Source organism: Homo sapiens, chromosome 7 (genome assembly GCF_000001405.40).
Source record: "Homo sapiens chromosome 7, GRCh38.p14 Primary Assembly".
NCBI classification, from domain to species: Eukaryota; Metazoa; Chordata; class Mammalia; order Primates; family Hominidae; genus Homo; species Homo sapiens.
In genome coordinates, this window is record NC_000007.14 from 39748653 (window position 1) to 39766945 (window position 18293).

Below are 18293 nucleotides of genomic sequence, written 5' to 3' on the forward strand. Positions count from 1 at the left end.
AGCTCACTGCAGCCTTGAACTCCTGGACTCAAGTGATCCTCCTATCTCAGCCTCCTGAGTGGCTGGGACTACAGATGTGGGTGCCACCACATCTGGCCTGGTGGTTTCCAGGCCAGATGAGTTTTAAAAACTTATCTCTTTTTTGCTTTAATTTTGTTATTTTTTAATTAATTATTTTTTATATAGAGAGATGGGGTCTTGCTATATTGCCCAGGCTGGTCTCAAACTCCTGGGCTCAAGTGATCCTCCCACTCAGACTCCCAAAGTGCTGGGATTACAGGCATGAGCCACCACACCTGGCCAGAACCTATTTTTCCCCCTTCTTTTTCCTTTTAATATATGTAGAGATGAGGTCTTGCTATGTTACCCAGGCTGGTCTCGAACTCCTGTGCTCAAGTGATTCTCCCGCCTCCCAAAGTGCTGGGATTACAAGCATGAGCCACCATGCCCAGCTTGCCAAAACCTATTTCTTTCGGGGCATATTGGTCTTTCTACTGCTTGCCTTTCAATCACTGGAAATTTGATGCAAGTCAAGGATTTTAAAGAAATATGTGCTGCTCTGTCACTCTAAAAGAATGAATAAGAAAAAAAATCAGTAGTACCTGCAAATGGGAAGTTTTATTATGATATGTTTAGCTGCTGGAGAGCTTGAGTTTAATCTTGGCCTTTAACTTATGAGGAGGATACACAAACTCACTGTATGAGTCATTTTCAAAATGTCTCCAATTATTTTGTCCCTTTGATGACATCATAGGATTCTCTGAATGCTTGGTGTGATGTACACCACTCCGTATTATTGCTTTTTTTGTTATTGATGGCAAACATGTCACTATGACTTTTTAAAATAATCTAGAAGCAGAAGCACCACATGAAATGCATTTACAAATTTTAAGTCCTTCTGGGAAAGGCTTAGAAGTTGCAGGAAAGACTACAGGACAGGAAGAGAATTCATGCACAAGCAAGCCTAGGATGGACCTGGCACTATTATGTTTTATAGCTGATCTCAGGCAAACTTCTGAGGTATCACCCTCACTTTGAAAGTAGGCAATATAAGCTTGCTAGAGCCCACTCTTCCTCTGTAGCAGCCAACCCTGTGGGGCAGTGGCTCTTTAAAGTGTGCTTCCAGGGTCTGCAGCATCCGAACCACCTGGGAACTTATTAGGAATGCAAATTCTCTGGTTTTCCCCCAGATCTCTGGTGTTCCCCCAGATCTACTGAATCAGAAACCCTGGGGGAATGGTCTAGAAAGTTGGCTTAACAAACAAGTCGGCTTAACAAGTCCTCCAGGCTATTCTGATGCAGGCAAGGGTTTGAGTACCATTGTTTAGGGCTTGCTTTTCAAAGTGTTAGGATATGCAACATACACCCAATACTTGATGGGGATTACAAGAATCTCTAGCCTGCACCATGGAACTCTCCCACTTTCATGCCTTTATTCAGGTTATTCCTCTAACTAGAATAGTCTTTCTCCAACAGACTCACCTGTTGGTATCTTGTTCATTTTTTTCAAAGCCAAACCAGTTCAATACCTACTTCCTCTAAGATGTTTCTCCCAATCCGCCCATCTCTCTGGAACATGGTGTCTGTCTTTCAACGGGTGCTCAATATACAACAAGTTGTTAGCTAGAAAGTTAGAAGTTGGGAAGTTAGGTAAAAATCATTTGGAATGAGTGTAGTGGGCTGTCTTCCATAATGACTACTAACTGATGTTTCGGGATGGACCTTTCTTTTGTTTTCTGTCATCAAGTCATGCATGTTCCCCATCCAGGCTGGAATTGCTGCTTCTCCTGGAATGTGTTTGCTTAAGATCAAGAATCAGCAAACTATGGTCCATGGGTCAAATGCAACCCACAGGCTATTTTGTACAGCTTCTGAGCTAACAATATTTTTTACAATTTTTAATGATTGGGAAAAAAAGAAAAATAATATTTTGTGATACATGAAAATTACATGAAATTCAAATTCTACCATTCATAAAATAAGAGATCATTGGAACACAGCCACACTTATTTATGTTATCCATGGCTGGTTTCCTGCTACAAGGACGGAGTTGAGTAGCTGCAACAGAGATTGTATGGCCCACAAAGCCAAAATATTTATTGTCTGGCTTCTTACAGAAGAAGTTTGCCAACCCCTACTCTAGGTGACCTCACGTTTCACTCCCTCACTTCGTTCAGGTCTTTGATCAAATGTCACCCTGGTGGGGAGAGGTCTTCCCTGATCTTCCTACTTAAACAGAACATGTTCTCCCTAGCTGCTCTTTGCACTGTTATGTTATGTTGAGCTATTTTTCTTTGTGGCACTTATCCTAAGCTGACGTTATAGAGGTATTTGTTTATTATGAGTCTCTCCTCATAAGAGCCAGCTTCATGAGATCAGGACCTTTCTTTTGGCTCATCTCCTTTTCTTTTTTAATTTTAATGAGAACCTAGAGAAAACACTCCTTTTAAAAAATATTTTTATTTATTTATTTTTTGAAACAGGGTCTCACTCTGTCACCCAGGCTGGAGTACAATAGTGCGATCACAGCTCACTCTAGCCTTCACCTCCTGGGCTCCGGTAATCCTCCGACCTCAGCCTCCTGAGTAGCTAGGACTACAGGTGTGCATCACCATGGCCAGCTAATTTTGTATTTTTGGTAGAGACGGGTTTTTGCTATGTTGCCCAGGCTGCTCTCAAACTCCTGAGCTCAAGGGATCCATCCGACCTCCTCAGCCTCCCAAATTGCTGGGATTACAGGTGTGAGCAACCGCACCTAGCCAGTGTTTTGGCTCATTTCCACATGCTCACAGGCTCTCAATAAACATTCAAATGAATGAATGAATATTCTCTAACAAGAGTATCTCTAAGACCTTCCCTGGTGGTTAGATTATTTTACTTTGATTTTGGGAGGGACAAGGAGCTGATTGAGTGTATTATCTAGACTAAGTTACGTTAACAGAGATCATTAGACTTATTGTTTGCCTTTTACAAAATGATGGATATACATTGTGAAATATTTCTTAATTAAAAGACCTGGAGGCCAAGCATTCAGACTTGGAGGCCATAAATCAAAAATCATTCTTCTGCCAGGCAAGGTGACTCATGCCTGTAATCCCAGCACTTTGGGAGGCTGAGGCGGGTGGATCACTTGAGGTCAGCAGTTCAAGACCAGCCTGACCAACATGGTGAAACCCCATCTCTACTAAAAATACAAAAATTAGCTGGGCGTGGTGGTGGGCGCCTATAATCCCAGCTACTCAGGAGGCAGAGGGGGAGAACTGCTTGAACCTGGGAGGAGGAGGTTGCAGTAAGCCAAGATTGCGCCATTGCACTCCAACCAGGGCAACAGAGCAAGACTCTATCTCAAAAAAAAAAATTTTTTTTTTCTTCTGTTTTTCAATGACAGCATCCAGAGTTGCCAATTGGAATGCAGAAAATTGATTTTGACTGTTTGTTTTTTAAGAGAGCTTAGGGACTATTTTGTCCCATTCTGTTTTATTTCAAAATTCTTCTACATTTTAATCCAATTATATATATATAGAATGTAGGCAAAATATGTGTTCCAACACATAATTGCTATTTACTTTGGGGCAAGGAGTTTTCTGGAAAAGTAGCCAGCATCACTCAAAAGCCTCTAATGACTTTCTCATACCCTCCCATTTCAAAGTCAGATGAGTTGTTTTTAAAGGAATAATTCATCTTCCTCTCCCCCCTTTTCTTTTATAAAGACTTGTCTCTCATAGTTTGCACAAGATCTTTAAAGAAATGGGCTTGAGTTTACCTTGTGCTCAGTGAACAGAGCACCTTTACTAGGAACATGCCTTCTTTTCTCCTGCAGGCAGACAAAACAGAAGAATGTATCTGAGGGATTGGCTCTATTATCATATTAAGGAAATTTATACAAATGACTACTATCTGGAAGAATCTAAATTATAATTTTACTAAGTTATGGTAGTTCTCTCAGGAAGACTCTTCCTTTTGGGATTGTCAATATGGGGAGAATTATGACTTTTGTATTAAATCCTGAAGTATTTGCAGTGGCTCACGCCTGTAATCCTAGCATTTGGGGAGGCTGAGGTGGGCAGATCAACTGAGGTCAGGAATTGCAGACCAGCTTGGCGAACATGGCAAAACCCCATCTCTACTAAAAGTACAAGAACTAGCCGGGTGTGGTGGCGTGTGCCTGTAATCCCAGCTACTCGGGAGGCTGAGACAGGAGAATCACTTAAACCCGGGAGGTAGAGGTTGCGCTGAGCTGAGATTGCACCACTGCACTCCAGCCTGGGCAACAGAGTAAGACTCTGTCTCAAAAAATAATAATAATAAATAAATAAATTCTGAAGTATTTTTCTTGGATATCATGGTCTAAGCCCCACAAAGTGTAAGTGGCTTGGCTGAGGTTACAGCCAAGGGGTCCTTGGTGTCCGGAATTGGTGGGTTCTTGGTCTCACTGACTTCAAGAATGAAGCCACGGTCCCTGGCAGTGAGTATTACAGTTCTTAAAGGCGGCATGTCTGGAGTTTGTTCCTTCTGATGTTTGGATGTGTTTGGAGTTTCTTCCTTCTGGTGGGTTCGTGGTCTCGAGTGAAGCTGCAGACCTTCGCAGTGAGTGTTATAGCTCACAAAGGCAGTATGGACCCAAAGAGTGAGCAGCAGCAAGATTTATTGCAAAGAGCGAAAAAACAAAGCTTCCACAGCGTAAAAGAGGACCCAAGCGGGTTGCCATCACTGGCTCCAGCAGCCTGCTTTTATTCTCTTATCTGGCCCCACCCACATGCTGCTGATTGGTCCATTTTACAGAGAGCCGATTGGTCTGTTTTACAGAAAGCTGATTTGTCTGTTTTGACAGGGTGCTGATTGGTGCGTTTACAATCCCTGAGCTAGACACAAAAGTTCTCCATGTCCCCACTAGATTAACTAGATAGAGTGTCAATTGGTGTATTTACAAACCCTGAGCTAGACACAGAGTGCTGATTGGTACATTTACAAACCTTGAGCTAGATACAGAGTGCCAATTGGTGCATTCACAATCCCTTAGCTAGACATAAAAATTCTCCAAGTCCCCACCAGGTTAGCTAGATAGAGTGCCCATTGGTGCATCCACAAACCCGGAACTAAACACAGGGTGCTGATTGGTGTGTTCACAAACCTTGAACTAGACACAGAGTGCTGATTGATGCACTCACAATCCCTTAACTAGACACAAAGGTTCTCCAAGTCCCCACTAGACTCAAGAGCCCAACTGGCCTCACCCAGTGGATCTCGCACCTGGGCCGCAGGTGGAGCTGCCAGCCAGTCCCGGGCCGTGTGCCCGCACTCCTTAGCCCTTGGGTGGTCGATGGGACCGGACGCCATGGAGCAGGGGGCAGTGCTCATCAGGGAGGCTCAGGCTGCCCAGGAGCCCACGGCGGTGTTGGGGGAGACTCAGACATGGCAGGCTGCAGGTCCCGCGGGGAGGCAGCTAAGGCCCAGCGAGAAATCAAGTGCAGCGCCGGTGGGCCAGCACTGCTGGGGCACCCGGCGCACCCTCCACAGCTGCTGGCCTGGCTGCTAAGCCCCTCACTGCCTGGGCCGGCAGGGCCGGCCCGCCGCTCCGAGTGCGGGGCCCGCCAAGCCCACGCCCACCTGGAACTCTAGCTGGCCTGCAAGCCCCGGGCGCAGCCCCGGTTCCTACCCGTGCCTCTCCTTCCACACATCTCCGCAAGCCGAGGGAGTCGGCTCCGGCCTTGGCCAGCCCAGAGAAGTGCTCCCACGGTGCAGCAGGGGGCTGAAGGGCTTCTCAAGCACGCCAGAATGGGCCCCGAGGCGGAGGAGGCACCGAGAGCGAGCGAGGGCTGCCAGCATGCTGTCACCTCTCACTGCCTCCACCACCAATGCTCATTCCACCTCCCCTTGTACTTCAATACCTCCCTGCGCTTTCCCAGTTTCAACTCACAGAAGGGAAAGCTGCCGGCAGGCCAGCACTGGGGCTCTTTTTGTTTAATATTTGCCTAGTTGTTGAGTAAGGATGGAGACAGACTTAAATCATTAAGTGGGATTTCTATTTTTAGACATTTCTCATTCTGCTGAATAGAAAATTTAAAAAGAGTGCATTCCTGCCTCAAGGAATGGTAGGACTTTTTGAGGCTTAATGACTAAGGGAAACAAACGTGTGCTTCAAAGTACACTGAGCACTTAGGTTCAGTGAATGCTTTCTCAAATACACTTTGGATCTAATATAAGAACTCAGTTTGTCCTGGTGCAGACTTATCTGGGAGCATTAATACTCCTGGGCTTAAACAAACTGCCCCAGAACACAGTGCTGAGAGCAGGAGACCCTGACTGGCCTCAAATCTGTTAAGATGGCAATCAATCATTTAGAAGCTTTACAACCAGGAGAAAAACGAGCGTGAGAGGAAATGTGAAACGATGACACATCATCACTCTCCACTAGAGCCCTCCAGTTTCTGAGAAAGATGGAAACTCTCTCATTGGAAAAGGCAGAAAAATAAACATGCTAACAATGAAAATTCTTAAGATTTTTTTAAAAAGAGAAACTGAGAGGAAAAATCATATCTAAGTTCTTCTAGAAAGATCACAATTTCACAAAACCTATTGTTTGGAACAAAAACCTGGGTTTAAGTTTATTTTATTTAGCTGAGCACATTTAGTAGAATTATTTCAAGTGTCTGCCTTAGTACAGACTTTTCAGAAGTGGGATAAATGTACAGTTTCCTGCTACCTAGAGCTGCTGTGAGAATTAACTAAATTAAAAACCAAAAAATGACAGGCAGTAGATAGACTGAAATCTTTCTCTTAAGAGTTGTGCTATGGCTGAGTGCAGTGGGTCATGCCTATAATTTCAGCACTTTGGGAGGCCGAGGTGGGAGGATCACTTGAGCCCAGCAGTTCAAGACCAGCCAGAGCAACATGGCAAAACCCCAACTCTACAAAAAATACAAAAAAATTAGCTGGGCATGCTGGTGCATGCTTGTAGTCCCAGCTACTAGGGAGGCTGAGGTGGGAGGATCATGTGAACCTGGGGAAGTTGAGGCTACAGTGAGCCATGATCTCACCACTGCACTCCAGCCTGCTGGGCAACAGAGTGAGACCCTGCTTCAAAAGAAAAAAAAAAAGTCGTGCTATGAATTAAAAAAAAAAGAAACTAAAATATTTACTGCATGAAAATGAAAGAATTAGATTGGACTCTACCTGTGCTCTAGTTCCAATTTCACTGTCTCTCTTTAGCCAAGTATCAGAGGCATCTGTTGTTTTGTTGTATAGATGCAAGTTGGGCATCCATGAACCAGCTTATTGGATATTGGTGGTGGTGGTTTTCACTCAGCTCTATTCTGTAGAAATAGTACCCCAATTTTGCTTTGGGGAATCACCCTCCCTGTCTGAGCCCACTTGCTTCAGGTGAACCTGAATCCATCTACAGCCTCCTAGGGAGTAGAAAGTGAGTGAGGCTAAGCTCACCAGCACAGCCTCTTTCCCCAGATGACAGTCATTGGTTCAGGGAAAAAATGCATGACACAAATTAAACCCAGAGTATTAAAAACTTAATTGTTGGTGGGAAATGCCAAATGTTATAACCTTATGGAGGGGAATCCAGCAGTCTCTAAAGAGAAATGATAATAGAATGCAATTAATAATCTGTGGTTTTCTTTTCCTATAAAAGATATTATCAGGAAAATGGGTGAAATTTAAGATCTGTAGATTAGTTGATATTATTGTATCAGTGTTAATATCTTGAGTTTGATAATTTTTATTGTGGTTAATGTTCTTATTTTAGGTAACACTGAAGTATTTAGACATGTAGGGTCATCACATCTGCAACTTATTTGCCCATGGTTCAGGAACAATTACATTACACACACACACACACACACACACACACACACACACACACACACACCAGATAATAGATATAGAAAGTAGGAGGGCAAGAGAAAGAATGACAAAGCAAACGGGCTAAAAATTTAATAACTGGGGAACTTGAGTAAAGGGTATATAGCAATTCTTTATACTGTTCCCAAAACTCTTCCATAAATCTTTATTATGTTGTAAACCCAGAAAATCTGAGATAGGTCTCAGTTAATTTAGAAAGTTTATTTTGCCAAGGTTGAGGATGCACCCATGACACAGCCTCAGGAAGTCCTGATGACATGTGCCCAAGGTAGTCGGGGCACAGCTTGGTTTTGTACATTTTAGGGAGACATGAAACATCAGTCAATATATGTAAGAAGTACATTGGTTCGATCTGGAAAGGCAGGACAACTCAAAGCAAAGGGAGGAAAACTGGAAGTAGGATGTGGCTTCCAGGTCACAGATAGGTGAGAGACAAAGGTTGCATTCTTTTGAGTTAATACTTGGACTGAGCTAATGTTCATCCTAGGCATCCTCTTCTCAGGGGAAGAAAGAAGCATGATCCGTAGAGCTGCTATGGTGGTCTGATAATGTGAACACCCTCCTGGCCAAAACGTTCCTGCAGCAGATCAAAAATTCCCCACCAAAGACCCCCAGTGGGAAAATAACAATGCAGCCCACTACATATGCAAGACCTTAGGGAAATGATAATAAAAGGGATTAAAGAATCAGTACCCCAAATCCAGAACCTTACCCGAGCATTTGATATACAGCATGGGCAAGATGAAGGGCCTATAGAATTTTTAGACAGATCGAAGGAACAAATGAGACAGTATGCTGATCTAGATCCTGAGGATCCTCTTGGATGGGGAATGTTAAAACTTCATTTTGTTGTTAACAGTTGGCCAGATATTTCAAAGAAATTACAAAAGATGGAAAATTGGAAAGACCATCCTGTGGAGGGTCTGTCCTGCAGGCCCCAGCTCGCATGATGGATGAATAATGTACCCAGACACCGATATTCAGTGAAAGTGCCTCTAGGGATCCGAGCTGCTCACAGACACCAAGGAAGGTGGTGTAAAGAATCAGCAGCCACAGCCCCAATTAGCTGTCCCTGTGGGCATTTATTTGGCACAGTTTTAATGACAAAGGCTTTGAGTCAACACACCTGTGGGTAATTAATCTGGTCGCCCCCACCCCAGGAGAGCTATCCCGCCCTTGAGTGATCAAATGTTAGTTGTAGGACCACATGAGTAAACAAGCTCTTTAGATAAACTTCTCCACATTCCTATGTATCTGCGCCCTAAGCTCTCTGGCTCCTGAAAAGAGGATTTGGCTGCCTTCAGCCAAACTATCTGAAGTTATGCCAAACTTCCTGGCCTTCCAACAAGGTTTGCTTCTTTCTATTCCTATAATTTCTTCTGCCATACTGACTGATCTTCCACACTGTCCCGTGAGTGAATTTCTTAGGGAGGCTCAAAAAGAGTATGTAAGAAGGGACAAAGGAAAACAAAAACAGAAGGCAAAAATTCTGCTGTCCACCATACAACAAAGTACTCAGGGGGCCAGAACCTAAAAAGAGCCTAGGCCCCCACTTTCCAGGCCATATAAAGAACACCAAAAAGTGAAGCTTGGAAACTTAAAATTAGGAAAGGAAGGAAGGATCTCTTTGAAGGCTATAATGCTTTGAAAACTGTTGGCAGTGTGGCATGACTGCTTAAAGTAGATAAAAGCTTGTCATTTTACCCCATCCCGGCGTGACTGTGAAGCTGGTGAGGAAAGAGGAAAAAGGGCAAGTTCGGATGTAAGCTGGGTAGCTGGGACTGGTTGGACAAGGGACCACTCTGGAGGGCTCTTGTGCCCAGTGTTTTCCACTTCAGCCCAGCCACATGTTTATAGCAGCCAGAGTCCTTGCAAAGGTGTGGCTGGCTTCGGTCAGGGCCTTCTAGCACTATCAGCGCACTCCTGCCAGCAGCTCAGCTCCTCTCTGCCAGACCAACTAAGAGTGCTTTGTCCTGGCTGGGACATAGAGGCTGAGAGAGATGGGAGGAGTCATAACACCCAGAAATGAAAATACGGATTTAGAGAAGGAACCAGTAAGTAGGAGACAGAAGTTAAATATAAAAACCAATCAGCTAGTATCAAATTTCTGTTTATTCTGGAAGCAGGAGCAAATCTATTAGGAAGAGATTTAATGCTAAAATTAGGCTTAGGCCTCCAAATCGATCATGGGAAATTCCACTCCTCCCTAAACTTGCTCACCACCGCAGACAAAGAACACATTCATCCCAAGATATGGTCAAAAGATGGGATGAGGAAAGTTACAGATTCCTCTGATTCATGTTAAATTAAATACCCCTGGGGAAGTAGTAAAGAGAAAGCAATACCCTATTCCTTTAGAAGGCAGAGTAAATTTAAAACCTATAATTTAAGGTCTTCTCCGTGATGGGCTTCTTGAACCCTGAATGTCGCCCTATAACACTCCAATACTGCCTGTAAAGGAGCCAGACAGGTCATACTGGTTAGTGCAAGACCTTAGAGCTATTAATCAGATAGTCCAAACTGCACTCCCTGTTGTTCCCAATCCTTATACTATTATCAGTAGGATCCCATACAGCCACAAGTAGTTTACAGTAGTACATTTAAAAGATGCCTTCTGGACTTGTTTGTTAGCAGAGGACAGCCGGGACCTATTTGCCTTTGAGTGGGAAAGCCCTCACTCAATTTCTCAAAAACTATATATTAGATCTGTCTTCTGCCCTCTTCTCCCTTAGGACTCAAGGCATTCTAGCCCAGACTCCAACTCTTGAGTTTCCAGTTCACTACCACCAGCCTAGAGATCACATCCTCATCAGGAGTTGGAAAGAAGGGAAGCTTGAGCCCACTTGGGAAGGACCTTATTTAGTGCTCTTAACAACTGATACAGCAGTTTGGACTGCCAAGAAGGGCTGGACTCATCACACTCAAGTTAAGCGGGCACCACCCTTCCCAGAATCATGGACCCTTGTTCCAGGACCAACTCTTACCAAGCTAAGGCTAAAGAGGGTTTAACCCTCTTATTCTGTATTTATTTCCTCCCCCTACCCCATCCCTAGTCCCCTTATCATTAATGTAACCAAGTCAAGCTCACCCCAAACTATTACCTTTGATGCTTGCCTTGTTATACCCTGTGGAGAGTTGTCAAGTCAAAAGCAACTCTCTTCTTCAGAAAAGTATCTCCATCCTTCCTGGCTTTCCTCAGATTGGGCATTTGTTAATCGGGATAAGTTAGTTTGGGAAGAGTTTGATGAAGACTTCAGTATGAACTGGAAATCTTGTCCTCTTAGAGCAGATCTTCTCTGCCGAAGTTGGTTCAATGTTTGATGAAATACTAAAGAGCAAGAATGGACCACCCCAACTGGTACTTGCAGTTTCTTAAAGCCATATATTCATTTTACTAAAGGAATTACCCCTCCCAATTGTCAGCTGAACCAATGTAATCCAGCACAGATTACCATCCCTGCTCCCCAGAGTTCTTCCCCTTCATTAAGCCATTTCTGTGGTATAGGAGCAGAAGTCTCAGGGAAGGACCCCGCAGGATCCTTTGAAATGCACTTCATTGCTTCCCTACCTCCTGTACCCCCTTCTCCCTCTCCTAAGTTCTCCACTAACCAAACCTTTTCTCGTTGTATACCCAATGATAAACTGAAAGTAGCTGTTATAGAGGTTAAAGATTTAAAACAAATTATAGCCATTGAAACAGGGTAGCAGGACACAAATGCTTGGCTGGAATGGATTAAATATTCTGTTCACACGCTAAACAAAAGCGACTGTTATGCTTGTGTGACAGGCAGGCCAGAGACCCAAATTGTCCCCTTTCCACTCGTGAGGTGGTCCTTTCACAGACCAGGCATGAGCTGTATGGTCCGAGCTCTCTTCCAGAACCCCACAGTCTAAGGCGATGAGTCATGCAAGACTCTTTCACTGCTGTTCCCTGAGGTCAAGAGCCCTGCGGGTCAGCCCCTGAGGACCATCCAGCCTCCAGCCCCTGATGTTAACTTCACCTCATGCCTTTCATGGCAGGGGGAAAAGTTAGCCTTCCTTGGAGACTTAACAGGGTGCAGTGAAACGAAGCCTTTTCAAGAGCTTACTGATCAGTCTGCCCTTGTTCATCCCCGAGCAAATGTTTGGTGGTATTGCGGGAGACTATTGCTGGGTACTCTAACAAGTAACTGGAGCAGCCAGTTCAATTGGCTATCCCTTTCACCTTGGCATTTCATCAACCAAGAAAGTTGAAAACAGAATATTGTAAAAAGAGAGATGTCTCTCACCGATCCTTTGATCCTCATGTTTATATAGATGCTGTCGGAGTACCACTAGGGGTACCAGATGAATTCAAAGACAGAAATCAAATAGCTGCAGGATTCGAGTCCATATTGTTCTGGTTGTCAACTGTAAACAAGAATGTAGCTTAGAAGATAAATTATATCTTTTATAATTAACAACACTTTGTTAATTATACTAGAGATGCTATTAAAGGAATAGTTGAACAATTAGGCCCTACCAGCCAAATGGCCTGGGAAAATAGAATAGCCCTTGACATGATATTAGCTGAAAAAGGCAGGGTTTGTGTCATGATTGGAGTCCAATGTTGTACTTTTATTCCTAATAACACTGCCCCTGATGGAACAATACAAAAGCCTTACAAGGCCTTACCTCCTTATCAAATGAGTTAGCTAAAAATTCTGGAATAAATGACCCCTTTACAAGCCTCATGGAAAAATGGTTTGAGAAATGGAAAGGAATTATGACCTCAATATTCACCTCCCTTGTAATCATTATAGGTATATTCTTGTAGGATGCTGTATCATATTCTGTATTCGTGGTTTAATGCAAACATTTATAGAAACAGCTTTACCAAAACCTCCCTTAGTTCACCCCTGCCTTATTCAGATAAACTCATCCTTCTAGACGCCCAAGAAGAACAGAGCCAAGATATGCTGAGACGTTTTGAAGAGGAAAAACAAACTATAAAATCAAGAGAAGGAAATTGTCAGAGATGATAAATTCCTCTTCAAAAGGTTTTAATTCCCTGTTCTTCCCATTCTTTGTTTCTCTAGTTTCTGTAGTTACCCATGTGTGGTAAACAATCCTTCCCACCCTTGCCGTGCCCTGACAAGCCTAGACGTGCCTTGTGCTATAACGAATAGCCTTTCCCTTCCCACCTAGATAGCTGTGTTCAATTTCAAACATTAGCCAATTGGGTCAGTTTAGACTGTGCGGTCCAACCCCAGCCAATGGAGAAAGCACATAGCAGTAGGAACCAATTGCACTAGGGGTAAAAATCACTGCCCTGCTGCGGGTGTCCATCCCACAGACCCTGTCCAACAACAGATGAATAACATACACTGACACAGATATTATGCATGTCAGTCCAGCTGAGAGTCTGGCCCACTTACAGACTCCCAGAAGAGTGCTGTAAAGAGTTGTAACCATGGTCCCAACTTGCTGGCCCTCCCGGCATTTATACACCACACGTTAAATGACATAAGTATCAAGTAAACACCACTAGAAGGTAATTACCATTGCCGACCCCCGAGTAGAGAGCAATCATGCACCCGCGGATGGTCAAAGGTTTGTCTTAGGACCACATGAGTAAACAAGCTATTTAGATAGACTCCTCTATATTCCTATGTTAATTATCCTTGCTGTAGCTCAAGGAGGATTAGGCTGCCTTCAGCCATATCTCTATCCTGAGGCTTTTGCAAAAACCTTCCAGCTTTCCAAGAAGGTTTGTGTTTATTTTACAATTTTTCCCACCATCCTGACTGATCCCCTACATAAGCTTTGGAAATAGGTGTGAGCCCACATATGATTTTCCTAGTTTCTCCTCCCGCTTCTCTTTCTACTCTCTTGTTAGTATGTTAATTGTTTTCTCTCTCTCAATCTTTTTTCCCCATTTCTTTGGCAGACATTTTTACTTGTCTTGGAAGAGTAGGTGAAGAGTTGTTTTTAGGACTCTTTAAAAGGGTACAGTATAGATGACAGTCTTGGCTAATGGTAGCCAGATTCAGGGAGCCAGGGTCAGCGTGAGTTGGAATCAGTTCAAATTAGCAAAGCACTGGCACTCAGTGGCAGGAATACAAGCGACCACAAAGTGTTAAACACATCTGGAAAGAGATACTGACATCATCCTCAGAATCTGTGGGGAATACACATCGGCTGTAAGACCCATTCCTCTTTGACCCTATAAAGATTCTTTAAAGAATAATACCCTTAGCGGTTTTCTAGCCAGCTTGCCTGTTCATTTATCTTTGAGGACAACATGCCTCGTGGAGCTCCACAGGCCCCAGAGGTGTATGGATTCTGCATTTGAAAGTGCTGAAGCTGAGAGACTGGGTCTTAGTGGACCCCAAGAAGTCTGCTTTTCCTCTACTCATTGTTCCTTTTTTCCCAGCCGCTGGCATTGCTGTTTAAATGGGTTGTTCTTTGCTGTTTAAGTTGTTTCATAGTGGTGTGTCAGGATTTGGGTTTTCTGAATATTTTCCCAGCTGGTGACTCGAGTGGTGGTTAGGGAGGAGCTATTTTAGGGCTGTTCTGGAGCTGTTGAGGTCGGGTGTCTGGGTACTCACAGCGCATCTGTTGAGGAGAATGCTGTTCTCATTGTGCTGCCTTTTGTAGTGCTGTGTGTGGCCCTTTAGATGTGGGTGGAGGTGAGTTGGGGGAGTTAATGAGATCTTTTTTAGGTGCTTTTGATGAAGTAGCCTGCACTACAGGATTCATTGTGACTTTTGTCCTTAACCGGCACATATTTCTTTGCCAGCATTTGCTGTCTTTCTCTTGCCTTTGATTTTCCCAGCTCCTCTTGGTTGAATTAACATAAGTGCTCTGCTATGGTTTAAATGTGTCCCCCAAAGTTTATGTGCTGGAAACTCAGTCCTCAATGCAACAGTTGGGATGTGGGGCCTAATAAGAGGGCCCTCATGAATGAGTTAATGTTGTTATTGTGGTAATAGATTAGTAATCACAGAGTGGGCTTATTATAAAACAGAGTTCAGCCCCTTTTGCCCTCTTGCTTTCTTGCAGTCTCTTGTCCTTCTGCCTGCTGTTGTGGGATGATGTGTAGAGGAAGATAGTCTTCCTCTACACAGCAAGAAGATCCCTACCAGATGCAGCCCTCTCAACCTTGGACTTCCTGACATCCAGAACTGTAAGAAATAAAATTTGTTCCTTTTCTTTTCTTTTCTTTCCTTTTCTTCCTCCATTCCCTGCTCCTCCCTTCTCTTGCCTTCCCCTCCCTCCCTCTCTCTCTCCCTACCTCCTTCTCTCCCTTCCTCCTTCCCTCTTTCCCTCTTTCCCTTCCTTCCCTTCCTTTCTTTCCTTCCCTTCCTTCCATTCCTTCCCTTCCTTTCCTCCTTCCCTCCTTCCCTCCTTCCTTTTTTCCTTCTTGTAAATTATGCAGTCTGTGGCATTCTTTTATAGCAGCATGAAATGGACAAAGACAGGCTCCATTTTCAAGAGCAAGCACTTTTGTAGTTTCTGAGCGAATTATGACTGCAAACGAAGTTCTGTAGGTAGCCTCAGATCCACCATCTAGGAAGCATGCTACCAAGCAGACCTAGGATCTAGGATTTGATCAAGTGCTGGGCAACATGATACCTCTGCAATTTAGCACCTCCTTATATACCTCCAGTTGGCTCAGCCCATCAGGGCTAAAACTACTCCTCATATCCTAGTGTCTCTTGTAGGCAGAAGCCCTGCCTAAACCCTAAGCTGCTTGGCTCACATTCTGTCTTGTGCTTTTTTTTTGTAGGGGGTTCAAATATACACAAAAGAAATATGATGAACCTTCATGTACCCAACCCGCAGATTAAGCAGTTACCTCCATTTTTCCAGATTTGTTTCATCTGCTTCAATCTCCCTAAAAATTTATGTTTGTACAGGAAAAACTGAAAAAATAGCTAATTCTCCACCTAACCTCTCACTTTAAGTCACTTTTCAGAGTAATAAGTTAGTGACCTACTAACCTTCACTCTAGTGACCAATAGTTTTTTTTTTTCTGAATACCATTATGAACTCGTAGATTATTGTTTGCATTTGATGTATTTCAGGCCATTGCAGTCTTTATTGTTTTGGATGCTTACATTGTCTCATCTAGGTTAATAATTATCTCTTCAAGTTGACTCTTACGTCTTTTTGATGTGATCCTGTTGGACTTTGATGGCTTCCTTGCTTTCTGGCAAAAAAGATGTTCCAGGATCAATATACTGTTCCATACATGGAGTCAGCCATTTCTCTAGGAGGCCTTGATTCCTTTTAGTAGAGAACGCAGTTTGGGATCTTGGACTGAATGACTTTTGTGAACCTTCTCTTCTGAAACTACAGCCTGCATCCCTGCATATAGCCCGTTTGGAGCTCTTGCTGGGCACCAACAGATCTCCTAAAACTGCTATATAGTTCTGCCTCACTCTTACAAAGATTCATCTCTTGAGAGTTTTGTGCTCTACCCCCAGATGTGGTCTTTCTGGTTCTGAAGCTTTTGTTTCAGTCACCCTGAATTTCACCAGCCCTATGCATGCTATACCTTGGATTGCCAACCCGCCCTCAGTGGAGCCTCTTTGGTTAGAATAGTTGCCACAACCCATGCCTAATACTCTAGTAAAGAAGGTTCTACCTAGGCTTAGGTTAACTTTTGCTCCTTTGGGCCCTGTGTTCTACCAGCATTCCATTTATCTGAAACTCTTCTTCACCTCAAGAACTTATCTGTTCTTTAATGGTTTACTGCTGCTTCCTGGGTTCGCAAGAACCTGGTTCAAGAGTTTCTGTTTTAGTTTGAGATCTTATAGGCCTGTCTCATCAGGTTGGTGTCAGCCTAGCTAGGATTAGGCAGAATTGGGTGGGGGTTGTAGTGCATTTTTGGCACAGCATGTACCTGTCTGACTAATTCTCTGTCTTTTCTTTCCTGTTGCAATTAATGGGTCTTAGCATCTTCTGAATGGTGTTTAGTAGGTCATCCTGCTGATTTCCTCCTAGGGAGTAGCATACTCTGGCTCTGTACCATTGGCCAAGGGACTTAAGGATGGGTGACAGGCTGCAGTTTTGTTAAACAGAACAATATGAAGAGATGGCATTGTAAAAAAAAAAACAAAAAAAACAAAAACAAAAAAAAAGGCTTGGCAGCAGGGCCCATTTGAATGGTTAGTCCTTGGCTCCCGTGTTGATATAGGCAGATCCTTCATGGGAATTTGGAATGATCCCAAATATTGTAGATCACTGGTACATCAAGTCATCCTCAGGGTTGTCTGTGTAACAGTCTTGAATGATATTTTGTGAATCTTTGGAGATTCTCTGCATAGGGTTTAATCATTTAGTTATTTCAGTCGAGCCTGTTTAGTTTCTTTGCAAGGAGATAAGAAATGTGAAAGAGATGCAGACATTGGGAAATGCCAGGAGCCTTGTTTCCCCACCCTCTACTTGGGTTCTGGAACTGGACTCATCGGTGAGTAGTGAGGAGCTGGGCCCAAGTTCATTAATCCTAGATCTAGCTCTGCTTTGTGCTCGCTCCAGTTCTTGTATCAAATTCACTTCAAGCCACGCAGAGTAGTATGTAGAGGAGTCATTCAGGACTGTGCTTATAGTTCATTATATCAAATGGGAGATCCAGTAATTTATAGCCTAGTATTTCTGGAGTCTGGAGATGGCTCTGCATAAGCTTTGCTGAAGTAGATTTTATTACATTAGAAGAGAACCTAGCTGGCTGCATCCTACATTGGAAGCTTTTAGATGCTAATAAGGAGGTCATATAAAGGTCACAAAATGACTCTGGAATTCATTTCCCCCGAAAAAAGAATAATGACATTCTGCATTGGCCTCTTTTCATTTCCCTTTGATTTTGAGTAATAAATTATCTCCTCACTTCCCAGCTGAACAGTTTGGGAGTCTCTATTCCCTAGAAAGACTCTGGTCACATACCCATCAGATTAAATTAGGTGAAAACTCTTTGGCCTTAATGAATGTTGAAGGATTTCAAACGGCTAATGGAAATTCTTCTAGAAGTAACTGCAACCTCTGCCTTCCAGATTCAAGCAATTTTCCTGCCTCAGCCTCCCAAGTAGCTGGGATTACAGGCATCCACCACCACGCCCAGCTAATTTTTTTATTTTTAGTAGAGACGAGGTTTCACCATGTTGGCCAGGTTCGACCTCAGGTGATCCACCTGCCTCGGCCTCCCAAAGTGCTGGGATTACAGGCATGATCCACTGTGCCCAGTTAAACTCCAGTTTTTCATGTTCCATGCATAGGTCAGGGTCTTAGGGAGTGATTCATTCTAGCAGAACTCCCTGGATTTTAAGGCAAGTGTTCCATTTATTAATTGACAAAGGACGCATATTTCTCTTCTGGTAACCTAAAGATTTAGGTCGTTTTCCCAGGGACTCTGTTTCCACTATGAGAGTTCTTGGAAAACTAAGCAAAGGATGAGGAAA

General features: G+C 43.5%; 1 long non-coding RNA gene across 1 annotated transcript in view, besides 2 other annotated features; it reads left to right on the forward strand.

Annotated features, from left to right (window-relative positions):
• LINC00265 (long intergenic non-protein coding RNA 265) overlaps positions 1 to 18293 on the forward strand; it is a 61056-nt gene that overhangs the window by 15085 nt on the left and 27678 nt on the right. The window lies entirely within an intron of this gene.
• Positions 1057 to 1894: an enhancer, noted in NCBI's record as "NANOG hESC enhancer chr7:39789308-39790145 (GRCh37/hg19 assembly coordinates)". NCBI's record gives its function as "activates a minimal SCP1, AML or CMV promoter by ChIP-STARR-seq in naive H9 embryonic stem cells {active_cell/tissue: H9 hESC(naive)}" and the evidence as "EXISTENCE:reporter gene assay evidence [ECO:0000049][PMID:30033119]".
• Positions 5501 to 6168: an enhancer, noted in NCBI's record as "H3K4me1 hESC enhancer chr7:39793752-39794419 (GRCh37/hg19 assembly coordinates)". NCBI's record gives its function as "activates a minimal SCP1, AML or CMV promoter by ChIP-STARR-seq in primed H9 embryonic stem cells {active_cell/tissue: H9 hESC(primed)}" and the evidence as "EXISTENCE:reporter gene assay evidence [ECO:0000049][PMID:30033119]".